At 48.5% G+C, this 12795-nt stretch overlaps 1 protein-coding gene across 17 annotated transcripts in view, besides 1 other annotated feature; it reads left to right on the forward strand.

Moving 5' to 3' along the window:
* SRGAP2 (SLIT-ROBO Rho GTPase activating protein 2) overlaps nt 1-12795 on the forward strand; it is a 260896-nt gene that overhangs the window by 243221 nt on the left and 4880 nt on the right. For 7 of the 17 annotated variants that reach the window (XM_011509354.3, XM_011509355.3, XM_047416530.1 and 4 more), the window contains 5 exons: nt 3625-3704; nt 6439-6619; nt 8117-8263; nt 11610-11648; nt 11862-12186. In XM_011509354.3, the coding sequence (XP_011507656.1) occupies nt 3625-3704; nt 6439-6619; nt 8117-8263; nt 11610-11648; nt 11862-12186 (772 nt within the window). Of the gene's footprint in view, nt 1-3624; nt 3705-6438; nt 6620-7382; nt 9399-11609; nt 11649-11861; nt 12187-12795 lie in introns of those variants that run through there. The other 10 variants (NM_001377444.1, NM_015326.5, NM_001170637.4 and 7 more) reach the window with 3 other exon arrangements.
* Nucleotides 7916-8587: an enhancer, noted in NCBI's record as "H3K27ac-H3K4me1 hESC enhancer chr1:206628023-206628694 (GRCh37/hg19 assembly coordinates)". NCBI's record gives its function as "activates a minimal SCP1, AML or CMV promoter by ChIP-STARR-seq in primed H9 embryonic stem cells {active_cell/tissue: H9 hESC(primed)}" and the evidence as "EXISTENCE:reporter gene assay evidence [ECO:0000049][PMID:30033119]".

The following is a 12795-nucleotide window of genomic DNA, read 5'->3' on the forward strand; positions in this document are numbered from 1 at the left end:
CAGAATGATTTTAGAAATTTGTGAAGAGAAAGAAGGGTAAGCCTTGTTTTTGGCAGGTTAGGGACTGTCCTCCCCTGAAGCAGCATTCCATTCTGTGGGGCCAGGTTTTCCATGACCTAGCTTCGGAACAGAGATCTAAAAGGAATCCCTGGGATATATGTTTGCTAGACCCCTCTGTTTGACAAAGAACAAATCACTATTTCTATTTTATGGATGAAGTAGCTGCAACCCAGAAAGGCCAGTGACAGTATTTTAGGCCACTCTAGTGATGGGAATTTAACCCCAATCTCATCTCTTTGTACAGGGTACAGTCCGTTACCCCATGCCACCCGCCATGGTACCATTTACAGCGTCGTTTTTTCACTAAACACAAAGACAACTGCCTCTCTCTTTTAATCCCTAACGTCCCTTACCTCCCCCTCCTCCTCCCCCTCCCTTCTTCCCCTAAATAGTATTTCAGCCTGAGCTGAAAGCACAAGCCAGCCCAAATCGGATTCTGTCTGAATTCAACATCTGGAACCAATTCGGCCAGCCCCATTGCTATCGACTGAGGTAGGGGAGGACAGGGGAGGTTGTTTACTTAATTAGAGGCCAATTGGTCCACGCTTCTCCCTGACCCCCACAGAACAGCCTCTTGCCCAAGGAGTGAAGAAAGTGGCATTTGTGTTCTGTGAACTTAGTAATACCAGTGACATCCCTGGGTTCATCCCTCTCTGCTGTACTGCAGATTTCAGTGTCTGGGTCCAAGCTGGAGGAACCTATGCTGGCCAGCTGGGAGAGAAAGCTTTTTGTCACCGACAGATGGTTGGTGGTGACTGGGGAGGTTGTTGGTCACTTTAGGTCTCAGCCTACTGGATGATGAGCTCCAGGGAGCTGTCCTTGTGCATGTGACTTAGAGCTTTGGTTTTCCCCCTTGCATGCGTGGTGAAAAGCTGTAGAATAGCATTCCCTTCCTTCTAAAGTCAGGCAGAACCTCCGCCCTCACTTCTCAAACATCAAACCACTGCAGGCTCTGGTCCAGTGCCCGGGGCACAGAGACCCCTACAGCCCTGGCCCCTGAGTCCCAGCCCAGTGGGTCAGAGTCCTGGAGGGGTGTGGCTCACGGGGACAGGTGCCTTCCTCCAGTTTCCTCCAAGATAGTCTCCCAACCTACCCACCTGTTTCTTGTGCACTCAACATTTATTAGCAGCCTCTGGAAAAACCACAAGATTAGTCAGGGAACATTACTACCGCAGACTGTGTGGGAGGCTAGAAGCACCTGAGGAACAAGAGTCAGCAACCTTGGGTTGAGAGGGACCTTCTAACCGCTGGATTCACACCCACCTGGAAGGCTCATGGCCTCTCCTCTCCCTTCTTTGGGAAGTGAGAGAAGTGCCAGCCCCGGGAGCTAAGGCAGTAAGGAGGTGAGTGAGGGTGGTAGAAGGGGAGATAGAGCACTAAGAAGAGAATGGAGAATGATCAGGAGACCCAAACAGCCATGGAAAGGAGAGCACCAGGCCACATGGCCTCCCCACAGCTGTGGAGAGGAGAGACAAATCCATTTCACCACACTTTCCAGTCCTGAAACTGGAACCGGTTTTCTAGGACTACCGGCTGGGTGGCATGGTGGACTGCTCCTGAGACCTCAGGTATTTTTGGGTCTGGTGGGTGCACAAGAGCAAAGGCTGGGGATGGAGTGTGTTTCAAGAGAAGCATAGGATTTTAGGGCTAGAAGAGACCTCAGAAAGCATCCTCTTGCCTTTCTCATAAAGCAGTGGTTTTCAAAGTGAGGTCCCTGGACCAACAGCATCTGTGTCACAAAGGACTGGTTAGAAATGCACGTTATTTGGCTCCACCCAGACCCAGTGACACAGGAACTCTGAAGATGGGGCGCTGTTTTTTAACAAGCCTTCCATGGCTCGCTGAAGTTTAGAACTGTTGCCTTACTGGCTGGCTGTGTAAATAAACTTGAAGCCCTGAGGGAAAGTTTGCCTTTGAACCTCTCCCCCGCCACCCCCACCATCTCAAAGGTTTCCAGAACATTACAAAATTCATCAGATTCATCAGATGGTTTTTAGCCCTAGAAAACAGTGAGAAATTGTGCCTACATTTTTTGACAAAGAGGAATCTCCGTTTATATTCTTCTAGAATGTTCTCTGGAGCCTGGGAAACCTCCTTGGAAGTGACTTGCTCTACACAGGATGAGTTCTGAACTGGTCACCCAGTCTTTGAGGAACTTCCCAGGAGTGTAGGATCCATCCCATGGGGAAAGAGGCTTGAGGGTTCCAAGGTGGAAACTGTGCGGCCAGGCTGCCAGGCTGAGTGGGTGATGGTGCTTTCACACAACTGCCTGGAAAGCCTCACCTGTTACTGCCTACTACCAGAGGAAGAACTTTAGAAATGAACAGTTTCTCTACTTTTCAGGAAGTAAGAACTTCCTGGTGCCCATCCTCATGAGTTCTGAAGTCCATGAGCCAGGAGATCAGGAATAGAAATGACTTTCCTAGTAACCTCTCTATCATTTCTCGATTCCTTACACTGGATGATTTTTTTTTTTTTTTTTTTTTTTTAGACAGGATCTTGCTCTGTCACCCAGGCCAGAGTGCAGTGGCACGATCATGGCTCACTGCAGCCTCGACTTCCCAGGCTTAACCAATCCTCCCACCTCAGCCTCCAGAGTAGCTAGAACCACAGCATGCACACTGGCTTTTTTTTTTTTTTTCTTTTTTTGTAGAGACAGGGTCTCATTAAGTTGCCCAGGCTGGTCCCAAACTCCTAGACTCAAATGATCCTCCCAAAGTGCTGGGATTACAGGTGTGAGCCATTGTGCCTGACCTACCCTGAATGATTTTAAATTTCATGAATTATTTCAAGAACTTGACCCAGCTTCTCTCCCCTGCCCTCCAACCCGTAATTGGATCCTGCCCTGTAGCCCATAGCAGATTATTCCTCCCCTACTTTTGTTTCCCACCCTCTCCTATGACTCACCTTCCACTTTTTCACCAGTTCACAGTCTGAACTGCAAAGCAACCTAGAGGCATCAAGCAAAATGAGAAAGAAGGAAAGCAAGTACTATTTATTAAACACCCACTCTGTGCCAAACTTGTGACTAAATTACTTTATTAAATCCTCACACAGCTGAGGATATAGATCTTTATCTTCAGTATATAGATGAGGCAGCTGAGGCTTAAGGAGATTAAATAACTTGCCCAGGATCACACAGCTACCAAGTATCAGAGCTGGTTTTCGAATCCAGTTTTATCTGATGCCGAAACCCAGTGTTTCCCTTCCACCCTGCTTCCCCTTTGAAAACCAGGAATGAATTCACATAGAGAATCAGACCTTGAGGAGTTGAGTTGTTCTCTATTTTCTAAAGAATTTAGTTTATACCTTCAAAAGGGCTTCCCTTTGTCTTGAGATATTCTAAGTTCCAAGTAGTCTCAAGTGGTTTTTGTAGCAGGAGCTAGACTGGAAAAACTCTAGAGCTTTGTATTTCATTATAAGCATTTGTCTATTGTGTGCAGTTAGGATATAGAGAGCATAAGATGGATTCAGTGCCCTCGCGCCAGGGAGGCTGTATGAAGGGGAAGACAAGAATTTTATGAGCACATGTTAATGTCCCTGTCACTCTTGCTTCTGTTGCAGTGATAGCCCTCATGGAGAGACTACCTCGGTTGAAGACTCAACCCAGGATGTGACCGCAGAGCACCACACGAGCGATGACGGTACGAGGCCCTGCTTCCTGGTCAGTGGGGACGCCAGGGGTGAGGCAGAAGGAAGTGATTATATATCCTGTGCATCTGATGAACCTGTCTGCCCAGCGGTCCCCTGAGGGCAGGCAGAGAGCTCCCTGTCTCAATTTCATTCCCTTCCTTCCTTGGAGAGGTAGCCCACCTTCTCAAATAGAATCGCTCGTATTAAACCAGAGGTGAAGAACTAGGCCTTTCATAGCCCTTCAACCTTCTTGCTCCACCTCCCAGCTCCTTGTCTGGCCTGAGTGCAGCATGATGTTGGTCCCTTATCATAGCCTAGACTCCTGCCAGACAGCTGGAGAACAAAGTGAAGGAAAGTACATTTGAAAAACAGTAAGCAATTGGGTGTGGTGGCTCACACCTGTAATCCCAGCACTGGGAGGCCCAGGCGGGAGGATCACTTGAGTTCAAGAATTCAAGACCAGCCTAGGCAACACAGCCAGACCCTGTCTCTTAAAAAAAAAAAAAAAATAGCCTGGCATGGTGGTGTGCAGCATCCCTGTAGTGCCAGCTACTTGGGAGGCTGCGGTAGGAAGATCCCTTAAGCCCAGGAGTTCAAGGCTGCAACAAGCTATGATTGTACTACAGTACTCCAGCCTGGGTGAGAGAGTGAGACCCTGTCTAAAAAAAAAAAAAAAAAAAAAAAAGTAAGCCTGGGGTGGGAAATAGCAGAGCTGGTTGCCCGGAACCCAATAGAAGCAAGCCAGAGGGAGTGGGAATGAGGATGCAGAAACCACATGCTTTCACGCCTACCGACTGGAAAAACTGACCCTTTCCAAAGTACAGACATGCGAGTGCCGAGCAGCGTGGTGGGCGTGCATCAAGGGGAGGAATGCTCAGCTGTCATCCTCAGGCCCCTCAGCAGTGCCCATGCTTTATGAGGGTCTGTCCAGCCAGCACATTTCCCCCGCTTCCAACAGCTCCACACCTCCTCTGGATCACATGGGCTCTGGAAGTCTCAGCAGCTGACAAGGGGCCTCAGAATTTTCTGGGCACAAGAATGAAATGGCAACAGTCTGTGGAGTTTTCCCTGTTCCCTGCCTTGCTGGGAATTCTGCAATTCTAGGCCAGCTTTCAAAGGAGAAAAAAAAAAAATAGGACTGCTTATTTAGATCCTGATGTCATAAGGATCCATATGATCATTTGCTACATTCGAGGAGGGGAGTAGGTGAACTAGGAAAATGAGTAGTGGGTTAGAGCCTACCTCGTGGCCAGCTCTGCTAGAGGCTTTATATATGTTATCTCTTAATCTGTAGTGAAAAAGATATGGCCGCTATTTTACAGTTGAGAAAATGCAGGTCAGGGAGGTCGAGTAACGTACCCGAGGCTGTAGAGAACTAACTGAGGTGGGTATATTTAGACAGGCCTTCTCTGACCAGCCTCCTATAGTGAAATCTCCAACCCCTCCTGTGCAGGAGCAGACCCACCAGCTAGGGCCATCTAGGCATGGTCTTATTTTTAAGCAGCCTTTCTCTCTGCTTCCCAGAATAGCCGACTTTCATCTCAGGTTCCAGCTTTCTGGGAGCCTTCTCTTTGCTCTTTGATCTCTACCTGCAGCCTAGCACAGACGAAGATAATGATAACAATAAGTCATGCACACATACCACTTACTATGGGCGGGACACTGTTCTAAGCACTTTTACAAATTGTAATTCATTGACTCTTCATAACAACTTCATGAAAAAGACACGATTATTAATCTCCATGTTACAGATGAGGAGACAGAAGCCCACACAAAAATAAAGATAGATTGCATTCGTAGACCCCTTTTACTTTTTTAGATTACTTTCATGTGCATTTTTTTCATAGGTTGGTCACAAAATATATTTTCATATTTTGCTCCTTGGAAAGTTGATTGAGCAAGTTATTTTCTCTTTATAGAGAGACAGAAAGCTCACATTCTACTTACTAGGGGGAATGGATAACATAAAATATTTAGAATACATGTATGTATTCTAAAAAATGTATGATACATTTTCTACAATTACTGGAATTATTATATAATTAGAAAAGAAATAATGCTTAAAAATATAGTATGGCAAGTTTGATGATAGACGTCAAGGCATGAAGATCTTTGGAAACACCAAAGAAGTTACTGTAGAAAGCAGGGGATGCGGTCGGGCGCGTGGCTCACGCCTGTAATCCCAGCACTTTGGGAGGCCGAGGCAGGCAGATCACGAGGTCAGGAGATCAAGACCATCCTGGCTAACATGGTGAAACCCCGTCTATTAATAATACAAAAAATTAGCTGGGCGTGGTGGCACACGTCTGTAGTCCCAGCTACTTGGGAGGCTGAGGCAGGAGAATCGCGTAAACCCGGGAGGCAGAGGTTGCAGTGAGCCAAGATCGAGCCACTGCACTCCAGCCTGAGCGACAGAGTAAGACTCCATCCCAAAAAAAAAAAAAAAAAAAAAAAATGGGATGCTTGAGTTGTGTTTTGATGTGCTTCATCAGGCAGATAAGAGAGAAGAAGATTCCTGGTGGAGGGAACAGTGTGAGCAAAGGCAGGTAAAAGGTGATACCAGTGCTTTCAGGATAATGGTATAGTCTGCGTGAGAATTACTTGCTTTATAGATCATCCATGGCTTCGTTTTCCCACTAAGTAATTTCCTACCACTGTAAGTTCAGCTAATTCAGCTTTTCCACCCAGTTTCCTGAGTCTGCAGGTCCCAAGAACATGTGTTTACTTCTTTTCCACCCTTCTCAGAATGTGAGCCCATCGAGGCCATTGCCAAGTTTGACTACGTGGGCCGGACAGCCCGAGAGCTATCCTTTAAGAAGGGAGCATCCCTGCTGCTTTACCAGCGGGCTTCCGACGACTGGTGGGAAGGCCGGCACAATGGCATCGACGGACTCATCCCCCATCAGTACATCGTGGTCCAAGACACGTACGTTGGGCCCATGGCATCTTTGGGGGTGGTCCCCAGCTGCTCTATGGGAGTGAGACTTCATTTCTGGAGCCATAGGACTATGAGGGAGGCCAACCCCTGGGGGGTCCAGTGCAGTCCTGAGGCTCACACAGTTCCTTGAAGAGCACCCCCCCCACCCCCCGCCCCACTCCCTGCACTCAGTGGAGAATTTTTTTAAATCTCTCCACTATCTGTGCCCCCTGCAAATCACCCCCTAATCCAGTCATTTTAGAAACCTGCCAGCCAGCCAGCACTCATCCATATTTATACCTGATGAGTGATAACAAGGGGTTTTTATTTGACCACCTATATTTCTTTTCTCGAAAGATCAGGCTGGGAAAACATTTTTGTTACTCTCTTTTTTTTTTAAACAACTATGCTCACCCCAACCTGTTGAGCCACTCTTCCACTTGCAAATTAAAATGACTGGTTTTCTAGGAGAAATCCGGCTTAAGCAGCCTTATGGAAGTGACCTAGTTCATTTAACCGAGATGAGGTTGATATAGGGTAAGATGGGGGAAGGAGGGAAAAGGATGTCAAGGAACAAAGGAAACCTGAACTGGTCCCAGAGAGATCTCATCTGATAGGCTGTTGGTTGATTCTCACACTTTGAAGCAGTTGTCCCGTGGGCCCACCCAAGCCTGCCCCCTGTCCGTTTGCCCTGTCTCTGTCCCCAGCTCCCCTCCCTTGGATACGATGCTGTCAGTGTTTTTAGTCCTTCCCTTAATATTATTTTTTAAAGGTTGATATCCTGAGTGAGTCTGCACCCTCCCAGCCTCTTCCCGGCTCGTTCTGCAGGGAAATCCTCCCTCTGTTGATAGCATCGCAAACCTGGTGGCAATCTGTGCGTGGACAGGACCCTCCCAAATTTAGCATTATGACTTCACCACAGGATCAAGAGAAGATGAATTGTGGGGGAGAAGGGGCTTTCTTTGTCATCAGTAGCCAGAGGGGCCAGGAGAGCAGTGGAGAGACCTGGGACCGGCTTGGATGCTCTGAGCGGGGCTAGAGGCGCTACGACAGTGTGTGGCGGTGTCCTGCCACGACGCCGCCGTCTCCAGAGCCACCACACAGTTGACTGTCCTTACCCGGCAGTGCTCAGGACCTCAGCCGATAAACCACAACCTGGACTTGCCGCCTCCTTCTCCAGGAGGCCGCCCCAGCACGGCCTCCCCAGGAAGCAGCATGGGGTAGAAGGCAGATGCCTCGAATCCAGGTGTCCCCTAGCCACGCTTTCCTGAGGAGCTGAGGAGCCCGCAGAACTCAGCGGATTATTTATTTTTATTTAAACGACCCTTCAAAGGCCCTTAGGTTTCCTTGCCTCTGCTCACAGAACTAGTCCAGCCAGGTGTCGCTGCTGCCTCAGAGCTGTGTGGGGTCGCGTGTATGTCGGGGGGCCATCTTGCCGATTTAACGCTGCTTTTTGTGTTGTTGTTGTTTTCCCTCCTCCCTGCCTGCCTGCCCCTTCTCCCCCAGCGAGGACGGTGTCGTGGAGAGGTCCAGCCCCAAGTCTGAGATTGAGGTCATTTCTGAGCCACCTGAAGAAAAGGTGACAGCCAGAGCGGGGGCCAGCTGTCCCAGTGGGGGTCATGTAGCCGATATTTATCTTGCAAACATCAACAAGTAAGCTCTGCTTTTCATTTTCTGCTCCCCTGAATGACTTGCAACACCCAGCCTCACCCTCTGGCCTAACCCCCATCTCCATTCCTGTGCTGCACGTAGGGCTCCCAGCTCCCCCAGCCTAACAGTTTGCATGTGGTCATTGCTGCTGCAAGGCGGACAGGGCTGAGGATGCTGCTACAAGCCTCGGGGCAGGTCCAGGTCTCCAGCTAGCTGCCCTCGTGCTGTGGAAGGGTGCTTTACTGTGTGTTCCCGCAGTGTCTGTCCACCCAGACCTTTGTGGCAGTCTTACAGCTAAAACTTTGACCAAAGCTTTGGTCACTTTATGCAACCTGGTTTTGTACTGTTTCTCAGAGGTGCCTTCTTTTTTCCAATCCATACTCAAATAATAGTCTTTGATGTCTGTCTTCCTTGACCCGTGTTCGTGCAAAGATTCAGAGTCTGTGTGTGGCTTCTACTAGGCTGATGTTACACCAGGTGGGTTTATTGAGATATCATGTGTCTGTTCCTCCCCCTGTCCTGCATTCACTCCTGTGGAGGAAAGGAGGCCACGATGTCCCTAAGGAAAGCTTTGTCCTGAGCTCTTCATTCATTGGCTAACCCCTAGCTCCCTTTTCTTCTGCCCTTTCACACCAGGAGAAATAATTTTCCATTTTGTTCCTATTGCTTTGGCCTTTTGTATTATTCTACCCCCTTAGTCCCTTTGCAGATCCCCACTCCTGCTCAGCAGGCTCTTACCTCTGACCCCCAGCTTTCATTGTGGCTGTTAGCAACATCCTGGGGTTTAAACTCCACCCACGCCCGATCTGGCTGTCTAGAGGGATTCTACGCCTGCGTGCTGCCGCCTCCCCAAGAGGCATTCAGGTTATTGGAGAACTAATCTCATCTCAAGGGGCCAGACACCAAGTCCCAAAGCCTACAGACCTCTTTCCGCCAGGCCCTGAAACCTGGCCCCGTGCCAGCAGGATGACAAGCCCCAGGGCGCTCCTGATGAATATGGATTGGAGATGATGTACAGTTTTTATTCCCCTCTGGCTTTTGAGGAATGAAATGATTTGCACTTTGAAAACCTGTTAACCGTAGCCTCTGGACACTGAGACTGGAAGGAGAATAAAGGATGCTTGTTGTTTTTAAACTATACCAGGTTTCCCAGATCTCTTGGCTTTTTTCCACCCAGACGGTAGCAGGGGGAGTGGTTGGGGCACGTGGCTCTTTTCCATCTCTTTCACCCTCAAGTTAGTAAAGTCGTTTATTCAGATCACTTACTCAGTGTAGTTATAATTTAATTCAGACCAGTTAAAAAAAAATTGAGAAGTTTCTGTTTCCCTCCAGCACACTGCCCTGCTGGGAGGGCAAGCCAATATCAAGTAACTGTGGGCTAATCACATTTTTTTCCTTATTTACAATTCTGTGTTAAATTGTAACCCTACAATCAAAAGGTCGTGATCCTATAATTAACTCAGAAACCAAGGCGGGGTTGGTGGAGGAAGAGTTAGATAATTAGTTAAGTACATATTTTTAAGCCATCATATATTTGATGCCATTTGTGCATAGAAATTGTAGAGAGTAATAACTGAAATGGTAAACAGAAGAAGAAAAAAAAAGAGTATCTGTAGACAGTTAAGGTGGTTCCCTTGAACTCCTTGTTTGCTGGTGTCAGGAGTCTTGGGATGGGGTTCTTGGAGGACAAGCCTCATCACCTGGTGGGTGGGTGAGCGGTGGCCCCGGGGCATGTCTGGCCCTTAGAAGTGAGTCGGCCTTTGAGTCTTACCTCCTGCCCCCCACGCCACTCCTCCTCCCAAATTCCTTGAGTTTCCCGAGTGCCCAGGTTCTCTTTCGCCCCTGGGCGCTCACGCCTGCTGTCTCCTCACCTGGTCACCTCCTCATCTCCCTTCAAGACTCAGTCCGAAGACTTAGCTCTTTGGGGAAGCCATTCTGACATCCCTGACTTCCCCAGGCTGAGTGAGGTGCCCTTATGCTGCATTCCAAAGACACTTTGAATACCTTTTGGTACTCACGCTTCACTCAGATCCCCCACCAGATTGAGCTCCTTGAACCCAGGAACTATATCTTCCTTTTCTTTACATCCCCAGGGCCTAGCCTGGGACATGGCACACCACAGCCACCCCATAAATCTGTCTTCTCAGCAGTTTCAGCCCATGAGTCAGCTATCCTCAAGCAGAAAAAGGAAATCAGCAAAGAGCTATTAGGGTGTGGCACTTCCATTTAATTCTACACATTTATTAAGTATCTACTGTTGTGCCAAGCACTGCTGGTGTTTATTCAGAGATAAAAAAGACGAGGTCCCTGATCTCAGAGCTCACAGTCTGGCAAGGTAAAGACCCTATGGACAGGTAACTGACAGGTAGCATCAGATGCTCTGAAGGTACAGAGGAGGGAGGGGTCCATTCTTCCTGCAACTGGAGTTAGTGGTGCAGTGGTGCCAGTGCAGTTGGAGTTAGTGGTGCCAGGGAAATCCTTGCAGAGAGGGGGTTCATTTCAGCAGGGCCTTAGAAGACTCTGAGAACATCCTTTTTCCACTCGAGAGCGGCTGAGTCACAAGCCTAAAACTGCCGAGTGGACAGACTCACGGAGTGACTGATACATGCCAGGTCCTGGGCCAGGCCCTGCAGGCAGAAAGATGAGGAAGACCTCAGCAGTGAACAGGACTAGGACTGGCTTAGAGCACTGTCCCCACCTCACAGACCAGCTCCTTATCTTCAGAGTCTAACCCCTTCCCTCCTTCCACCTCAACTCCTGCCTCAGCCCCCATCTCTCTTAGATTCAAGATCAGAGCTGTTCAGCAGCCATCCAAATCAGAAGTTTCATTGCCTCTTAGATTAGACCTTTTCAGATCTGATTCCAAGACAAAATGAAATTATCCAGCAGCAGGCAACACCCATGTAACTGGGATTCTGCCAAGCCATTTTGTCTGAGAGCCCTAAGTGGTCTGAAACAAATTCGCCCAGATCCAGGGTTCAGCCCAGTGCTGGGTGACTTGGGAGTCATGTAGAGGTATTTCCACACTAAGAAAACGCACAAACTGGGCCCCAACTCTGCAGTGTTGCTGCCTCTTGAAAACTATTCTGCTCCATGCCTACAGAATAAGCAACAACAGCCTCTTGCCAGAGCCCAAAACAGTTACAGTCTTTTTGGAAAAAGAGTCATGCTAAAATTTAGAAAAGTTAACTATCCTCTTACCAGCAATCTTGACCTCTTTGGTGATGGTGAGACTTCTTCTCCTAGCTGGGGCCTTAGGTTTCTGTTCATGGCAGGTCACAGAAGGGGCCTTTCCATGAATCTCTTTCCCATTAGAAACCTTCGCTTAATCAGACATTTTTTCTGACAGCAACTTACATCTTGACAACACAAAGCCCGTGACCACCAAGTAAGTATCCATTTCTCCTTCACCCAGCTTGGGGGTGGCAAGGGAATGAAGACATGGAGAATGCAAGAGAAGATGAAGCCGAGGAGAGAACGAGTTCTGTGTCCCTCTCCTTCCGAAGTCCCTGGGTGCCAACATCTGCCCCCTCCCACTTATCCTAGCTTCCTTGGAGCCAGGGCTCCCTGATCACACTGCCCTTTCTGTTTGTGATTGAAGGCAAAGGAAGCGTCCAGAATCTGGGAGCATCCGGAAAACTTTTCGGAGTGACAGCCATGGGCTGAGCAGTTCCCTGACTGACTCCTCCTCCCCAGGGGTGGGGGCTAGCTGCCGCCCATCCTCCCAGCCCATCATGAGCCAGAGCCTCCCCAAAGAAGGGCCAGATAAGTGTTCCATCAGTGGGCACGGGAGCCTCAACTCCATCAGCCGCCACTCATCCCTGAAGAATCGGCTGGATAGTCCACAGATCCGGAAGACTGCCACAGCGGGAAGGTCAAAAAGCTTCAATAACCATCGGCCCATGGACCCTGAGGTCATTGCTCAGGTAACTGTGGGCTCCTGGACAGACAGCATGAGTCTACATTCATCACTACCACTTAGTGCCACCCACCTAATTATGACAGGACTTGAAACAGAATGATTATTTTGTATGTGATATACTGAGTATATGTCCACTCTGGACATGTGGACCCAATAAGACAGCTTAATAAGTGGTCTGCCTGTCCCTCTCTCCCCAGGAAGAACCTAAAGACAGAATAAAAGAAGCCTAGCTTCTTGCTCATACACTGGCTATTAGGAAGGCTGTTGTAATTTTTAAAGCCGGTATTAAGAGTATTTTGAAAGCCCAAGTTTTGAGTCTAAAGACCTTGGTAGACTTTAGTGAAACTGCCCGACTGTTGAGGATCAGGTGTAATCCTGGCCACATGTTTATATTGCTGTGCCCATCACCATCATCCCGATTCCTAAGGCTAGTCTCTGGTACCGAATGGGTAGATGATCAATTAAGAACCTGCACCTGGTTTTAAAGACCTAAAAAATACTCTGGCTGCAGAGAGCTCTGGTAACCAAAAGGATTTGCAGCCCAAGCCTCCAGAGGCTATGGAGATGAGCTCCCTGGTTGCAGGGTCTTCCTTCTGTGTATGCACCGCACTGA

Source organism: Homo sapiens, chromosome 1 (genome assembly GCF_000001405.40).
Source record: "Homo sapiens chromosome 1, GRCh38.p14 Primary Assembly".
In the NCBI taxonomy this organism is placed as follows: Eukaryota; Metazoa; Chordata; class Mammalia; order Primates; family Hominidae; genus Homo; species Homo sapiens.